Source organism: Homo sapiens, chromosome 1, assembly GCF_000001405.40.
Source record: "Homo sapiens chromosome 1, GRCh38.p14 Primary Assembly".
NCBI lineage: Eukaryota > Metazoa > Chordata > Mammalia > Primates > Hominidae > Homo > Homo sapiens.
The window spans coordinates 209,365,027-209,380,579 of NC_000001.11; the positions used below are offsets into that span (position 1 = coordinate 209,365,027).

General features: G+C 42.7%; 1 long non-coding RNA gene across 1 annotated transcript, besides 3 other annotated features; it reads left to right on the forward strand.

The window, feature by feature from the left end:
- Positions 584 to 1,084: an enhancer, noted in NCBI's record as "H3K27ac hESC enhancer chr1:209538955-209539455 (GRCh37/hg19 assembly coordinates)". NCBI's record gives its function as "activates a minimal SCP1, AML or CMV promoter by ChIP-STARR-seq in naive H9 embryonic stem cells {active_cell/tissue: H9 hESC(naive)}" and the evidence as "EXISTENCE:reporter gene assay evidence [ECO:0000049][PMID:30033119]".
- On the forward strand, positions 7,029 to 14,664 carry LINC01698 (long intergenic non-protein coding RNA 1698). Its single transcript, NR_146491.1, has 3 exons — positions 7,029 to 7,188; positions 8,368 to 8,528; positions 14,401 to 14,664. It is a non-coding gene; the product is annotated as a long intergenic non-protein coding RNA 1698 (long non-coding RNA).
- Positions 8,328 to 8,829: an enhancer, noted in NCBI's record as "H3K27ac hESC enhancer chr1:209546699-209547200 (GRCh37/hg19 assembly coordinates)". NCBI's record gives its function as "activates a minimal SCP1, AML or CMV promoter by ChIP-STARR-seq in primed H9 embryonic stem cells {active_cell/tissue: H9 hESC(primed)}" and the evidence as "EXISTENCE:reporter gene assay evidence [ECO:0000049][PMID:30033119]".
- Positions 8,830 to 9,329: an enhancer, noted in NCBI's record as "H3K27ac hESC enhancer chr1:209547201-209547700 (GRCh37/hg19 assembly coordinates)". NCBI's record gives its function as "activates a minimal SCP1, AML or CMV promoter by ChIP-STARR-seq in primed H9 embryonic stem cells {active_cell/tissue: H9 hESC(primed)}" and the evidence as "EXISTENCE:reporter gene assay evidence [ECO:0000049][PMID:30033119]".
- Positions 14,665 to 15,553: the final 889 nt, after the last annotated feature.

Below are 15,553 nucleotides of genomic sequence, written 5' to 3' on the forward strand. Positions count from 1 at the left end.
AGCTGCAGAGACATTTTGTTGAAAGGCTCCTTAAAGTGGGAACTGATAATGCACAAAGGCCTGGTGGCCCTCCTTCCTTAACCTTTCTTCTGTGCCTGCACCTTCACATCTTAAGAATTACCTCCTTTCCTTTGAGGGGCCTGATAACCACTTTGACTACAGTGTAAAGAATAAAGCAGGGTTCAGGAAAAGAACAAGCCCCCTCGACACCTTCCCCACTCTCCAACCACAACCTACACTCGTTTTCCAAACCCTGAGACCTGTAGATGGCAAATAAAATTTTTCACTAATTCAGTAAGTGCTTATTGAAGGCCTATAATGCTTCAAGCTCCATACTAGGCATTTACAGAAGACAACCAAAATCAAGCTATTATGAAGAATGTCCAAGTCAGGAGGCCCAAGATATATGAGATTCCATATGCTGCTGATTGTATGACAGACACAGTAAATGTTGTACATTGTGACCATTGAATGCAGTTGTTTCCCTTCCTTTTTGGGGGTTTTCATGAGTCCAGCTGACAAGTGGGCTGCCTGCTCAAATCAGTCCAGCCAAGCATTGCTCTTCCTCATCCAAAATCCCAACATCTGCTCCTTTCTTCCCTCCCATACAAGCCTTAGGTCACCTTGCTCTCCTATTAGAAGAAGGAGATTATCAATAATTGTCCTGGGTCCAGGGGAAGATGGAAAACGAGTTTCCTGTCTTAACTCCTTTGATTCCTACTTCAGCAAGTTCTGATGAACACACCTAGGAGAGGGAGAATCTACTCACAGAGGCATGGATGATGGTAAGATCAAGCATGTCCCCACAGTGAGAAAAAAATAACATCAAGAGTATAATGCTATAGGCCAGGCACGGTGGCTCATGCCTGTAATCCCAGCACTTTGGGAGGCCAAGGTGGATCACAGGTCAGGAGATGGAGACCATCCTGGCCAACATGGTGAAACCCCATCTCTACTAAAAATACAAAATTTGGCCAGGCGTGGTGGCATGTGCCTGTAATCCCAGCTACTCAGGAGGCTGAGGCAGGAGAATTGCTTGAACCAGGGAGTCACAGGTGGCAGTGAGCCAAGATCTCACTACTGCACTTCAGCCTGGTGACAGAGCGAGACTCCATCTCACAAAAAAAAAAAAAAAAAAAAGTGTAATACTATAGAAAGCAGGTATGTTTGAAAGACTGTGGCACTTAATGGAGATTGTAACTTATTTACAGTTGAACTGGGAGAGATCTGTGACTTGACGTGTCCTCTGTATTCATCTACAAAACTTTCCATACACCCCAATATGTGTTTCATAATACACAAAGAGAGCTATAGGAACTGACCAGTGCCCTCAGGGAGCTTATGGCAGTGATGTGCTGGTAAATTTTAACGATCAGTTTTTCAAGGGAAAAAAGTTCTGCTTTCTAGCTTTGGCCAATTTCCATGGTGTAAATATTCCCGCAGTGGCTGATTTTTAGAAACCAAGAAGGTATCACTGAGAGAGGAGATGGGAAGATATGTGCATAGTCAGCTCTTCCTAGGTGGTATGAGCTGGCTCCTGAACACCAGTGGCTTAAATTCTAGTATATTGATACAGATAAAGACAGGATACAAAGGCAGCACCTCCTGATCAATTGACTGATTGACATGGATGAAAAATCTTTAACCAAGACTCAAGGAAGAACATACTTTAATGGTAGCAGGGCAAATGATGCTAGGTGAACGGTATCTGACTGTATTGCCCCTTCTGGTTCCTCAGAAGCACAAAGAACCATGGGAAAGACTACAAAAACTTTGGAGAGAATCAGAATCAATCCTCCACCCTGCCTCTTAGAGAAAGGGAAACTGAGACATGCAAATGTGAAGTGCTTTAGATTGTCTTTGCTTCAAACATACCATTGTCATGGATAGTTTTGGTTTCCCTGCCATTGGGCTGAGGTATTGGGCAGAAATGTTGCCAATTAACTGCATGATTGAAACAGGAAATCATTCAGAATTCACTGGGGCTCTCCAAGCACCCGTAGAGGACAAGTGACTGTCTGTACAGCTGATGGAGAGTGGGTGAAGGTACCACCAGCATGAAGGCACAGACTCTGTCTGAATTTCTTATTCAGTAACTTGCCCCAGACGTAAGCCTTCCTGTAGAATAGAAACAAACTGAAAAGTCTGCCAGGCTCTGGCTGGCTTAGCCTTTGAATCATTGGTGAGAAATAAGCTCTGTCTAGGAAGGGAAAAAAAATACATTCCCCTGTGAAGAAACCCAGCAGTAATTTTCTGGGCGGGAGAACTACTGCTGCATCTCTTGGGCAAATGTAATGGGATAGCAAAGTCTTTGGTGCTGAGGAAGCTCCAGCTCCTTTCTGCCTGTAATTCATGATCCCTGAGACAATTATGAGCAATGAAAAGGCATAAGTCAAAGGAACATCGAGCATAGCTAGATTTAGGAAAATAACACATTACATTTAAATATCCATATATATTTAATCTGTGTTTAATAATGCAAGGAATGCATTAGTCAAGGCTTAGGCAGATTACACATTTACGTTAGTTACAGAACAGCCTGGCCCTCTGATGTTCCCCAGCCTTGGCGCCACAGGAATGAAAACTTCTGGAGGAATGGAGCGTGTCATTGCAAACCTGGGGCACTGCGGAAATGCAAATGGAGAAATTGCAAAGGTCATCACAAAGTCAGGCTTGCTGCAGAAGATAGCACTGTGGGTGAACAGGAGATACCCAAAGCTCCAGCTTCTGGACTGACTTACTCCATTTGCTACCTTCTGTAAGGCACGGCTGGGGGTAGGAAGTAATGTCATAGAGAAACAGAGGGACCAGACTCTCTATTCCAGCTGTTGTTTTATCTCAGATTTTCTCTCCTATGCTTAGACTTTAAGCCTAGATGACCAGATGGAGAATGGCTGCCCAGGCCGCTAGGGAAAATCAGGACATGTCTCCAGGGGCAAATGCCTAGGCTCCAAAGCTCTTGCTACCATCTAGAGGGATGAAGCAGGTGAGTGTAGTCAGGGATGAAGGAGGAATGACAGGCATGCCCAGCCTTTGGTGCAGTCATGGTCCTCCAAAAGCTGGAAAGGGAACCAGTGGGGACATGATGCCGTATCTGCCAAATACTGTCTAGGACCTGGAGAGAGGGATTAAGAGGCTATACTGCCCAAGAAGCATAAGAAATTCTCCTGTTTGATTTGGCCATCACTCAATATAACAATCATAGATCCCCAAGCACTTTGTCCTTGTCATGACTCCCTTACTCCACTTGGGCAACTCATTCCCCAGACTCTAGAGTCCTGCTCTGTGCTCTAAGTTACTCCCAACCTCGACTAAAGCAGTCTCAGGAACAAAGTTACAGGAAGAAAATATCTCAGAGGCCATCTAACTCAATCTTCTGATTTTACAGATAAGAAGACTGAGGCTCAGAGAAGCAAAGCAGCCCATCCAAGTTTCCCCAATGAGTAAGTAGATAACCAGGATGAGGTCCAAGTCTCATTCCAGGGATCTGGCCATATACAACACTACCCTTCCTATTAAGCACTGTATCAGTTTTGGTGGTCTGTAGTAGAAGGAAGGCAAGCATGCATTAAATGCCAGACACTCTGCTAAGAGCTTGAATATACATTATCTTTAAAAGTTATAAAAATATACAAAATATATCTTTAAATATATAAAAATAATAACCTACTCAGTAAAAGTTTACAGTCAAAAAGGAAGCTTAGCTCTAATTCTGGCTCTGCCACTTTTCAACTCTACGATATTGGGTTGGTCACTGCACTTCTCCAGGTATCCCTCTGCCCCGACATCTGCAGAGCCTCCCTACTTCATCCACTGAGTCACTGAATAGGTGCTAGTCTAGTGCAAAGCACAAGTGAAGGGATAAGGCAAAGGAAACGTAGATGGGGCAGCAAATGAACGTGCCCCTCACTGATGCCTGGGAGAAACAGAACTGTGATGAAGTTGCAGATGTGGCCCAATCCATACTTTTTAGTAAGTCACAAAACACGTCTATTTTCCCATCTGTACTCTAGAACTACTCATCCTAACTCCATCCCTATAAAAGTCATTCCATGAGTCAAAACACGCCAATCTGTCCCAAGAAAAGGACAACAAGGAGTATCTCCCTAGTTTGTTTCAGGCTTCCTTTCAACGACTGATTCCCTCAAGATTCAAACTATTAAATATCTGAAATCTAATCTCACACAAGGCTCCTGCCTGGGAGGGAAAGCCAAATTACCTCTTGTGTCTCTTTAGGTTAAGCACAACTTTGAGGAGTAGACTCATCCTAGCAGTTGGAACTTGGAAAAAAACATGAGCTGTGACTCACCAGTCATTTTGAGCCAAGTATTTTGAATTTGCTCAGGGCAGGAAAATGGCCAGGAGGGTGGGATGGGAAGGGGAGGGGAGGACTCATATGGCTAAGAACTATCTGACTCTGTTCCAAAAAGGCAAGTACGGGGGAGACTCTCAGAGCGTATGTTCCTGTTCCTGTTGTTTCACTGCCAGGAGTCTCCTAAATCACTGTGAAATGACTGCTTTCTGCCTACCTCGATCATGTATTATGGAGCATTAATAAATAATGGGAGGTTGTAGGACCAAAAGGCGGGAAAACCCAAAGGGAAGGTGATGGACAGGCAAAATTTAACAAGTAAATGAAAGAAGCTATTAAATCATAGTTAAATTATGCTGGCACTGGCAAAAAAAAAAAAAAAAAGAGAGAAAGGATTTCCCACTGCAAAATGCTTTCAATAAAATACTGAAATTTCTCTTATGGCTGACCGAGGCATCTTCCAATCATAAGGATAAGGATTCTGTGGCCTGTGGCTCCCATTAAATACTGAGCTTGGGTAGGGTCTCTGAAGACAGAGTTTCCAGGTGCTTCTCAGTACACAGCTTTCCTAGGATGGGTCACATTCACTATTAAATGCCCCATCTATGATGCAGAAATTGCTAGGGACCTCTGTAGCCAGTTCATGAATTCTACACCTATTTCTCTATTGACTCCCTGGTGCACAATTAGGGGGTCCCACCTAAGGGGAGGAGAAATTGAGGTTTCCAAAGTTGTGACTTAAAAATAACCCTTTGACTGTAGGTACAAGCTTATGCTTTCTCAAGTACCATCACATCTATTAACAATTTTGCATTTGCTACCACCTATCAGGTAGAAGGGGAACTCTTTCAGTGGGGAAGCCATATCTTGTTCATTTTTGTGTGCCCCAAGCCTAAAAAAATGCACCTTTAATAAATATTGAATTGGATGGATAGATGGATGAATGGATGGGGGTGGGGGCAGGGTGAATGAATGAATACTCACAGCTGATAGGCTCAGAGAGGTTAAGTGACTTGCCCGGGACTGAACTACACAGTGTCAGTGTAGTAACCAGCAGCCAGGCTTTCAGAGTCTCAACCCTGTGCTCTTTCAACACACCATGATGTCTCTCTTCAAGATCACATAGTAAACTGGATCAAAGCCAGTATATGGGACCCCTGTAATTCCACACAAGCGAAAAGCAGGCACATTTTTCTCTGCTGGGATTGTAATTTTGACTGTGGCACAGACTGACATTCAGCATTTGAAGGACCTTTAGGGTCTCTGCATCTCAAGAAAGTTTTTGCAATTCCCTAGCGGAAGATCCACACAGAAGCCAGGACGCTTTGCAATGAGGCTCTTGGTTTTTTTTTTTTTTTTTTCCCAGGGATATTTGCTTTGGTCTTGGCAGAAAAACTTGCTGTCATTCAATTTCTCAGACATGCTGGGGCCCCAAGCGCCAGTGGGAGAAGCATATGTACCAACACGCCAGAGGAATACAGTCACAGCAGAGTAGATTTGTTAGGACAGGCAGGCTTAGTGGTCTGACAAGGTGTGCAAGACACTCACCCTACTGTGCAGTTTAAGAAGCAGCTACTTAGCAAACATATTGGTATTGGGTGGCTAGGGGATAAGTGTATCCAGGTCCCTGAATGGTCACAGATGTCCCATTGGTTGGGACATCTTTCAAGACAGTGGAAGGGCCTCAAAACCTCTCTCCAGGAAGTAACGACTCAGCCAAACTATACTTGCTTAGAAGAATCGTCAAACCAGGAAAGAAGACAACAAGTTCACTTTAGAGGGTAGCTCTCACTAGCAGGAAGTATGGTATAGCAGGAAGGGGCCATACCCTTGGCTTTGGAATCAGACAGAACCAGCCTCCACCACTTACAACTTTCTACTTACATAATGTGAAGCAAGTAACTTAACCTCTTTGAGCCTTGCTTTCTTCCTCTTTTAAATGTGAATGGTCAATTAGTATTAGATTCAGCTACGAGTAATAGAAACTCTAAAACCCCTAGTGACTTAAAACGTTAAAGAGGATAAAAATAATCTGGATGCAAGGGGTTCCGGACTAGTATGGGGACTGAACAAGTCATCAGGGATCCAGGTTCCTTTCATCTGGCTATTCTGTCTTTCTCCAATGTGTGCTCAAAATGGCAGCAAGCTCTAGACGCTTTGTCCAAACTCCCACCAGCAGGAAGGCAGAGCATGCATCATCCGCCTCTAAGAATACTTCTCAGAAGTTCTACTTAACTCTTCCTCTTATGTTCTACTGGCCAGAACTTAGTCACACGGCCATACCTCTATGCAAGGGAGTAGGGGGCTTGGAGATTTAGCTTGTGTTCCCAGTGGCCACGGGCCCAGCTAAGACTCAGAGGTTCCATGGTTCCATTTCTTCTTAAAACATATGAGTGAGTACTGGGGTATAATTAGTCTGTCCTGTCTAATTTACAAGATAAAATGAGATAATGGGTGTAAATCATCTATTTCAGGGTCTAGCATGTAGGTAGCACTCAGTAAATGGTAATGACTGCTATAGTTAAGGTTGATGTACCCCCCCCCACCCAGGAATACATTTCCATGAGAAGTCTTGGCAATACCCAACACTTGACTTCATCCCAGGGACACAGTGTAATACCATCAGATTTATCACTGAGATCAAAGTGAAGATCCCAATAAAGTCAAATAGTGAACTTGTAGAGTGCTCAAAGGAGATAAGTGAAGACGTGCAAAGCCTTGCTAAACAGGACCCATGGGGGAGAGATTTGAAGAAGCCATCAGGGTTTTGACTAGAAGGCAGGGGTCCTCAAAGCTGTGAAAGTCTGATCTATCAGAGGTGGCTGCCAAGCTGTGCTTTCTTCTGCAGATGGCAAAAGAAAAAGATGTGAAACAAGGTGAGAGTTAGATGATACTGGGGTCCGCGTGTATTTAGGTTTTCAATCAGGAAATGGAGGAAGTGGAAGGGATACTGTCAATTTAAGGTAGAGCTGTTTTAATGGCTTAGTGGATATCTAATAAGCATTTTCTGAATCAAATAAGAAATTACAATCTTTCTGGAGTAACAGAATATAGACATGAAGATTGTATTAGTCAATTAGTCATGGTTCTCCAGAGAGACAGAATCAATAGGTTGTTTGTGTATATATGTTTATATATACATCTTATATGTGTGTGTATGTGTATACGTGTGTGTGTGTATGTATGTATATACAGAGAGAGAGAGAGAAAAAAATTTATTTTAAGGAATTGCCTCATGTAATTAGGAGGTTGGCAAATCCCAAATCTGCAAGGTAGAAGAGCAGGCTGGAGATTCAGGGGACACTTCATGTTGCAGTTTGAGTAGAAGGCGGCCTGCCACTGCCTAGAGAGTTCTCTCTTCCTTGGAGGAAGTTTGTCTTTTTCTGAAGGTTTTCAGCTGATTGAATGAGGCCCACCCACATTACGGAGGGCAATCTGCTTCACTCAGAGTCTACTGATTTTAATGTTAATCTCATCTTTAAAAAAAATCTTCACAGCAATGTGCAGACATGTTTGACCAAATATCTGGGTCCCATGGCCTAGCCAAGTTGACACATGAGATCAACTATCACAAAGATCTTCAGAGTCTTATCCAGAAATAGAATCATACCCACTTGGGGACCTTCTGTTGCTATCAGATTTTCCTCACTCAAAAAAGCTTTTAGTGGACAAAACAAACAGATTACTCAAAGAAATACTTTGAAATGTAAAAGGGCATCAACAAAGAGGTTAGGCTCCAGGCATAGGTCATGAATTTTCCTTTCAGAGTTAAAATAATAATAATAAAAACCAAAGCAAGGGGAGGTGGAGTTGGACATTCAGACTGGACAGCAAACTGAAATGTTAGAAAATGATTAAAGCCATAGGAGGTGGCTGATTGAGAGCCCTAACATATGAAAAGTCTGTTATTGACTAAAGCAGTAGATGGAAATTTCATAGAAATTAATTGAGTTTTTGCCCTTATTGCTCCCAAGAGAAGCAGGGTAGCAGAGGAAGGTGTAGAGTGAGTAAGTGGGCATGCTGAATGTGTAAGTGTATATGTGTTTATATTTCAGACATGTTTAAATGGAAGAGAGAGGAATGAGAGAGGAAGGCAAGAATACAAATATTTAAGAAAGCTTTATTTTCCTGAAGCAAAGAATGACACTTGAAACCGAGGGAATCTCAATGTCCACCTTGCATTTCCATGACCAGCAAGAGAGGGGAACCCCTACAGGTAATTTGAGGGGTGCTGTGAACGTGCCTATCATCTCCCTTCTCCTCCTGTCATATTTCTTGGGAAACCCAGCACGAGTCACTCCTTTGGGTTGTAGCACTGGATGGGCTGGTACATGGAGTAGAATCAGTCCTTGGCATTTAGGAGCTACAAGCCATCAGGCTCAGGAAGGAAGAAGGACAACATCCGTGCATATCCAAATCTGAGTAGCGTCCAGGAGGACTCCTCTCAAGCCCAGCCATGATTGTGCCTTGCTCAGCTCAGAAGACCCAGAGGCCCCCCCATCCAGATGAGTTCAGTGACAGCATCTTTACCCACACAACATGGCCTGACTTTCCCTCTTGGCCTTCCCTGCTGCTGCCCCTGCCTGCATCCAGCACTCCAGCCCACCTTTCTGGTTCCAGCTCCCTGAACATTTTCAAGGCTTGCCTGTCTCTGTGCTTTCCTTCGTGCCGGGTCCTCAGTCTGAAAGAATCCTCCCCACCCCTTAGCCTATCCACAGAGTTTTCCAAACCCAGTCATATGCCACCTTCACCATGCAGTCCTTTCCTTTTCGTTTTAGTTGCAAAAGGAGTGAATTTTATTGTTTAAAAAATGCAGTCAAACTTGGAAAGTATAAAGTAAAAAGTTTCTCTATGCCGCACTTCCCACTGTGACTATTGAAAACAACAAACTGGTACCAAGGTACCAAGTTATAATAGCTGTGATCTTGTTATCAGTTTGGTGGGTACCTAAAGCCCTCTGATACCCCCTTCTAGATCACTGAATAAGATTTCTCCAACCTCTGAACTTCCCTAGCATTTGGTACCCCGTTATGATGTTTTACCTTGTTCTGCATTGTGTTATAGTTATATCTATACTTACCTTAATTGATCCCCACACTTCAGTCTTTGCTGACTCAATTGATTTGAGGGTCTATATTTCCCTGTCACAGAGCTTAGGACAATTGGCTGCACATTTGGTTTAGTCCATCAAACCTTTATGAACACGTGTTCTGGGCCCTATTGACCTAGGGGCCAAGGATACAGAAACAAATAAAACACAGCCCAGCCTTAAAGGAACCTAAAGTTTAGGTGACCTTTCTTTCCCACCAAAAAACAAAAAGGCAAACAAAAAGTTCGCAGAACTGTTAGACAGTAACAACACAGAAGCAGCAGATCCTGAATCTGTGCAGGTAGCACTCATTTGAACTAATAATTGCTTTAGAAATATTTGGCTGGGCACAGTGGCTCACGCCTGTAATCCCAGCACTTTGGGAGGGTGAAGCGGGCGGATTACTTGAGGTCAGGGATTTGAGACCAGCCCGGCCAACATGGTGAAACCCCATCTTTTCTAAAAATACAAAATTTAGCCGGGCAGGGTGGCAGGCGCCTGTAATCTCAGCTACTCAGGAGGTTGAGGTAGGAGAATCACTTGAACCTGGGAGGCAGAAGTTGCAGTGAGCCGAGATCATGTCACTGAACTCCAGCCTGGGCAACAGAGAGAGACTCCATCTCAAAAAAAAAACAAAAAATGAAAAAACAAAAAGACAAAAAAAATTTAAGAGCACTTACAATGCAACTATGAAATATGAGCAAATGATACTGAGCTCATAGTGGGGAGCAAGGAATGAGAAGAAACATTGGTTGAGAGGGGGTTAAGTTCAAGGACTTTTGCAAAGCTTCCAGAGGAGTGTGACTGAGTCTGGTAGTTGAGCACCTGGGACATTATTTATGATGCATTGAAGGATGTCAACAGCATTCTTCCGGAGAATTTTGCCCGCAAGGGGAGGTCATTAAAAGAGGAGGCACTGCCACACCGGAATGGGTAAAGCCTTCCAGCTTCTACTTTAATCCTTCTGACCCGGGAGATGAATTTCTTTTTCTGTTGATCTTTTCTGTGCCTCAGTCATCGACTAGTATTTATATTTTCAACCAGCATAGCATATAGTGAAGAGGTGTTGATGTCACACAGACCAGGATTCAAATGTTGGCTTTGACACATACCCACTGAGGGCCAGGGCAACTGGGGAGCCCAAATTTTCTCCTCTGAAAAATGGGAATAACAGCATCTAAATCACAGGACTATTGTGAAGATGAAAATTAATTGCGTTTGGGAAGGTGGCACAAAACAAATGCTCAATGCATGGGAGCTATTGTTATTGTTAGGCCCATTGCCTCTAACTAGAGGCAATCATTTTAAAGAGAGGGAGAACCCATCTCATTCTTCTCTGTGCTCCCAGAGCTCAGCAGAGTTTCTGCACACCAAGAGCATTCATTAACTGACACTGAATTTCCTGCTCTGCTTAAAGAATGCTGCTCCCAAAGGAAATGCAAATACACAAGCTCCTATATCAGCTCACCAAAGAGGGAGCCAACAAGTGAAAGGAGTGGATGAAAAGTATCCCATAAAGGGACACAATGTGGTTTACGGGCCAGGCAGTGGATGAAAAGAGAGTATCAGTAAGTGCAGGTGTATAGATGACCAAAGGACATTTTCCAGTGGACTGGGCTTGAAATTCATTTTCCAAAACTCAGCTTCTTTTGTTTTTTCAAGACAGGGTTAAGTAGAAAGAGACAGTTTATATTTTGTCCCATGTAAAGAAGGTATTTATGTGAAATATGACAGCTCAGTGTGCAAGAATGCAAACCACAGCTTGTGAGATAATGTGGCTATGAGGCAATGATCTGAAATCTGGAAGAAAATCGATCTTAAATCTTTATATTGATCCAAATATTTGAAAGTGGTAGGAAGGAATATGCTTGCTAAAGAGGGGATGAATATGGATGGCTTGTTCCAGTTTCTTTAGGCCTTACAAAAGCAAATTTTACACCAAACCTCACTCTGTATACTTACTTTACATAAGATCAAACTTAAGGGAGACGAGATCAATATTGAAGCTCTGTCTGAGATTCCATCTCTTTAATACCTTTCTCATTTCCTTTAGTAGTAGAAAGAGAGCTAATCTCTGTCTTTCAAATAGTTGTTTTGCATTTTTTGATCATGGGGAATTAAATTGAATTAGATGGGTCTGGAGTGGTTATTAGAACCATTACATTTGGCATAATAGATACATCTAGAGAAAACATTTACATAAGGAAATCAAAGCTGGTCTCATTTTTTATCCAGTGCTCTGACCTCTTTGGAGTTCTGACAAGCAGGATTTATCTGAATATTTCTTAAGATGGTATGTATAACAGTAAAATGCACCCCCTAACACACCTACCTAAACCAGCATTTCCTTCTGAAAAAAGAAAAAAACTGCTTAAAAAAGGAGGTATTTTCATATACTTACAGACATATTTTCCATTTGGATCCTTATTTGAATTTTACTCTCATTTAGAATATAATTCTGAAATCTCCATCATTAATGCTAAGCCTGGCAATATTCCATAAAAAAAAACCCACCAATAAAACACAAAAGCTAGATGTGAAGAGGATTATGATGTCATATTAAAAGAAGGGAAGGGAGAATTAAAATAAAAGATCTATCTGAAATGATCAGAAATGAAATTCTCTTTGGGATAAAATGGTCTCTTCCAGAAATGCAGCCATTTAAAATAAGATTATAGTGATATTTTATAAGAACTAAAGCAGAATACAAACTATCTTTCCCTGAATTAACTCACAGTTATATACAATGAACAGTAGATACAAATAAGGCATTTTTAGGCTTCTCCATTTTGCTTGGCAATTTCTCAACACAAGCTCCTGCATTAATAAAATCAGGGGTCTGGGTAAATGATGCAAACTTTAGGGCCCTATCACATCAAAATCAGATTGTCCTGGGTATGGGGTGGGAAGATTCTGCATTTTAAAAAGGACCCCAGGTAATTCTAAAACCCACTGGTGTTTGAGACTCCAGTTTAGAGCATCTCTGGGAAGCATAGGGGGACCAGCACAGAATTCAAAGCATACTTCATATCCAGCAACTCTAATAGTCCAGAGTTTGAGCCCTGCCTATCTGTTACTACTAGAGTGACCTTAAACAAGTCACTTAATCTCTCTAAGCCTCAGTTTTCTCATTTGTAAACTGGGATAATTTGCTTCACAGGTTGGCTTGAGTATTAAGGAAGTGATGATCCTCTATTAAAGCCCTATAAGAAGCTGGGCACCATGGCTTATGGCTGTAATTCCAGCACTTTGAGAGGCCAAGACAGGAGGATAGCTTAAGGCCAGGAGTTCGAGGTCAGCCTGCGCAGCAGAGAGAGACCCTTCTCTACAAAAAAAAAAAATAATAATAATAATAATAATAATAATAGTTGGGTTTGGTGGCACATGCCTGTAGTCCTAGCTACTCAGGAGGTTGAGGTGGGGGTATCATTGAGCCTAGGAGTTTGAGACTACAGTGAGCTATGATCATGTTACTGCACTCCAGAATGAGACCCTGTCTCAAAAAAAAAACAAGAACAAAAACAAAAAAAAACACCTTACCTGATACAACTTATTTCTTATTACCAGTATTGTTACTATTTGGCCACAAGTGTGATAACAAAAGAGAGCCTTGTCTACCTGGCAACACTGCCACTGTCAAGAGAAGGAATATAGAGATGACAAATTAAGTAGACCAGAACATAACTGGGCAGTGAAATTCCGTGTGATCATCAAATACATTTTGAGAGTAAATATAAACAATTGGTTGGCACAGAGCTAAGATGAAAAAAAAATATTGATGGGAATGATAAGGTAGAATTCAGTTGGGACAAAGCCTTCCTGAAGTGCAAATGATCAGATCAGGATGGCTGTTGGGAAGTGTGTGGTTCTGTTTCTCAGAGACATCTGGATGATAAAGAGTGGTGAGACCTCCGACAGTCTTTGTAGAAGCCCCAGGGACAAAAATGAGAGAGGAAAAAGGAAGTTTCCAAATACTTGTGTCTGCGATGAAGAAGCATGGCTGGATGGAGGAAAGAAAGGTTGAAATGGCATTTAGAAATTAGAGCAAAGGGCCAGTCCCCATGGCACAAGCCTGTAATCCCAGCACTTTAGGAGGCCCAGGTGGGAGAATCACTTGAGGCCAGGAGTTTAAGACTAGCCTAAGCAACAGAGTGAGAGCCAGTCTCTACAAAGATCACTTGAGCCCAGGAGTTCGAGATGACAGTGAGCTATGATAGCACCACTGCATTCCAGCTTCAGTGACAGAGTGTGACCCTGTCCCCAAAAAGGAAAAAAGAACAGAAAAGAAATTGCAGCAGAGGAACAATAAGGAATCCTGAGACTAAAGTTGATTTCCAACTCTGAAACAAATGATCAGAACTCCAAAATTGATACAATTTTAAAATATTTCCCTGACCAGGTGCAGTGACTCATGCCTGTAGTCTCAGCACTTTGGAAGTCTGAGGCGGGCAGATCACTTGAGGCCAGGAGTTCAAGACTAGCCTGGCCAACATGCTGAAACCCCGTCTCCACTAAAAATACAAAAATTAGCCAAGAGTAGTGGTGCATGCCTAAAATACCAGCTACTCAGGGGGCTGAGGTGGGAGAATCTCTTGAACCTGGGAGGCAGAGGTTACAAGTGAGCTGAGATCATGCCACTGCACTCCAGCCTGGGCTACAGAGTGAGACTCCATCTCAAATACATATATATTTCCCTGATCACAAATGATGCAAGTTTGGTGACTGAAAGCCACAGCCCTGCCCTCCTTGTAGGTTCCTTGTATGTGTGGTTGGGGATGTGGAGGGGAGGAGGGTGCTATGCTTCTCCTGGAATAAGATCTGGAAACTCTAGGGACAAAAGTAGCTGCATGTCAAAGGGCTCTGGCTTCCTTTGTGTCATGTGCTTGGAGTTTAGATATAAAGCTCTGAGGATCCCTCCTTTTGGAGTCTGTATAAACTGATGTTCTTCCTGGAAGCCCTATGCTGTGCCTGGCTTTTACTCATTCTGTTCCCTTAACAGGAATGTTCATCCTCTGCCTCTGACCTGGGAAGTCTCAGTCATCCCCGAGGACCAATTCCAAATGTCAATTCATTCACCACCATTGCCCTTGTCATTGCATCCACTCCTCCTCTCTCTCTGACTTGTGTTAATGGTAGGTAACTGTGTATGAATCTAGGCTGGGGGTTTGTCTTTGAGGTCAAGGACTATTTCTGATTCACTGTGTGTCTCCCTAAATCCTTCTTCCACCCAGCAAAGATGCTCAAAATATATATACAAATGATAGCCCTTTGTCCTGTACCTTTTCTGAGCTTTGGAATGTCTCTCTGTACTGATAGAGCATCATGCAACAGACCCAGCAGAGGAGGAAATAGCTGTGAGATTATCTGCCCATTATAGCAGGATTCAAAGAAAGCTGCTTTCATGCCAGGAAGCCAGGGGATCGTAGTAAACGGCTGTCTTTAACCAAAGACAGGGATCTTCCACTATTAGGAGGGATCTTCCACTATTGAAAGTTGAGACCCTGGGACCCCTGTCTCATCTATCTCTGCCATCAGACCTGCCGCTTCTCACATAGTTGCATATGGACAAGATGCCTCATTTTGGTGTGCACTGGGAGATCTGGCCTATCCATGAAACTCTCTCCATTGGTTGCCTGTTGAAAGGGCTCCCTACCAATTTGGTCATAACACAGACCAAATTGAGGAGGTTAAAAGAGATCAAGTGTCTGAACATGGCTTCTTTGGACTCTAGGAGGAGTTGATCAAGTGTCACTCCAGTGCATATACTGTTTTTATGCACAGTATGGATTTGAACATCCTGGTGAGTGAGTCCATGTTAACAGTATGTTCTCAAGCAGGAATATGCAGCTCTAGCTTCTGTTTTTAGAAAGCTCAGAGATTTTTTGCACTGGAAGAGAATTAGACATCCAACATCCTCATTTCAAAAGGAAACTGAAGTCAGAGAGGAGAAGGGACTTCCCAATGGTACATAACCTGCTATTGGCAAAGGTGGGACCAGAGCCCTTAAGTTTTTCAACTTCTCCAGCAAATTCCTCATATCTAAGAGCAACGCTTCAGTTTTCCTTAATAAAGTGCCCCAGATCCTCACATTCATCCCTTTCAGAGTGCAACTTCCTACTTGGTTTACAAATGAGTCAAGAAAAGAAAATCTC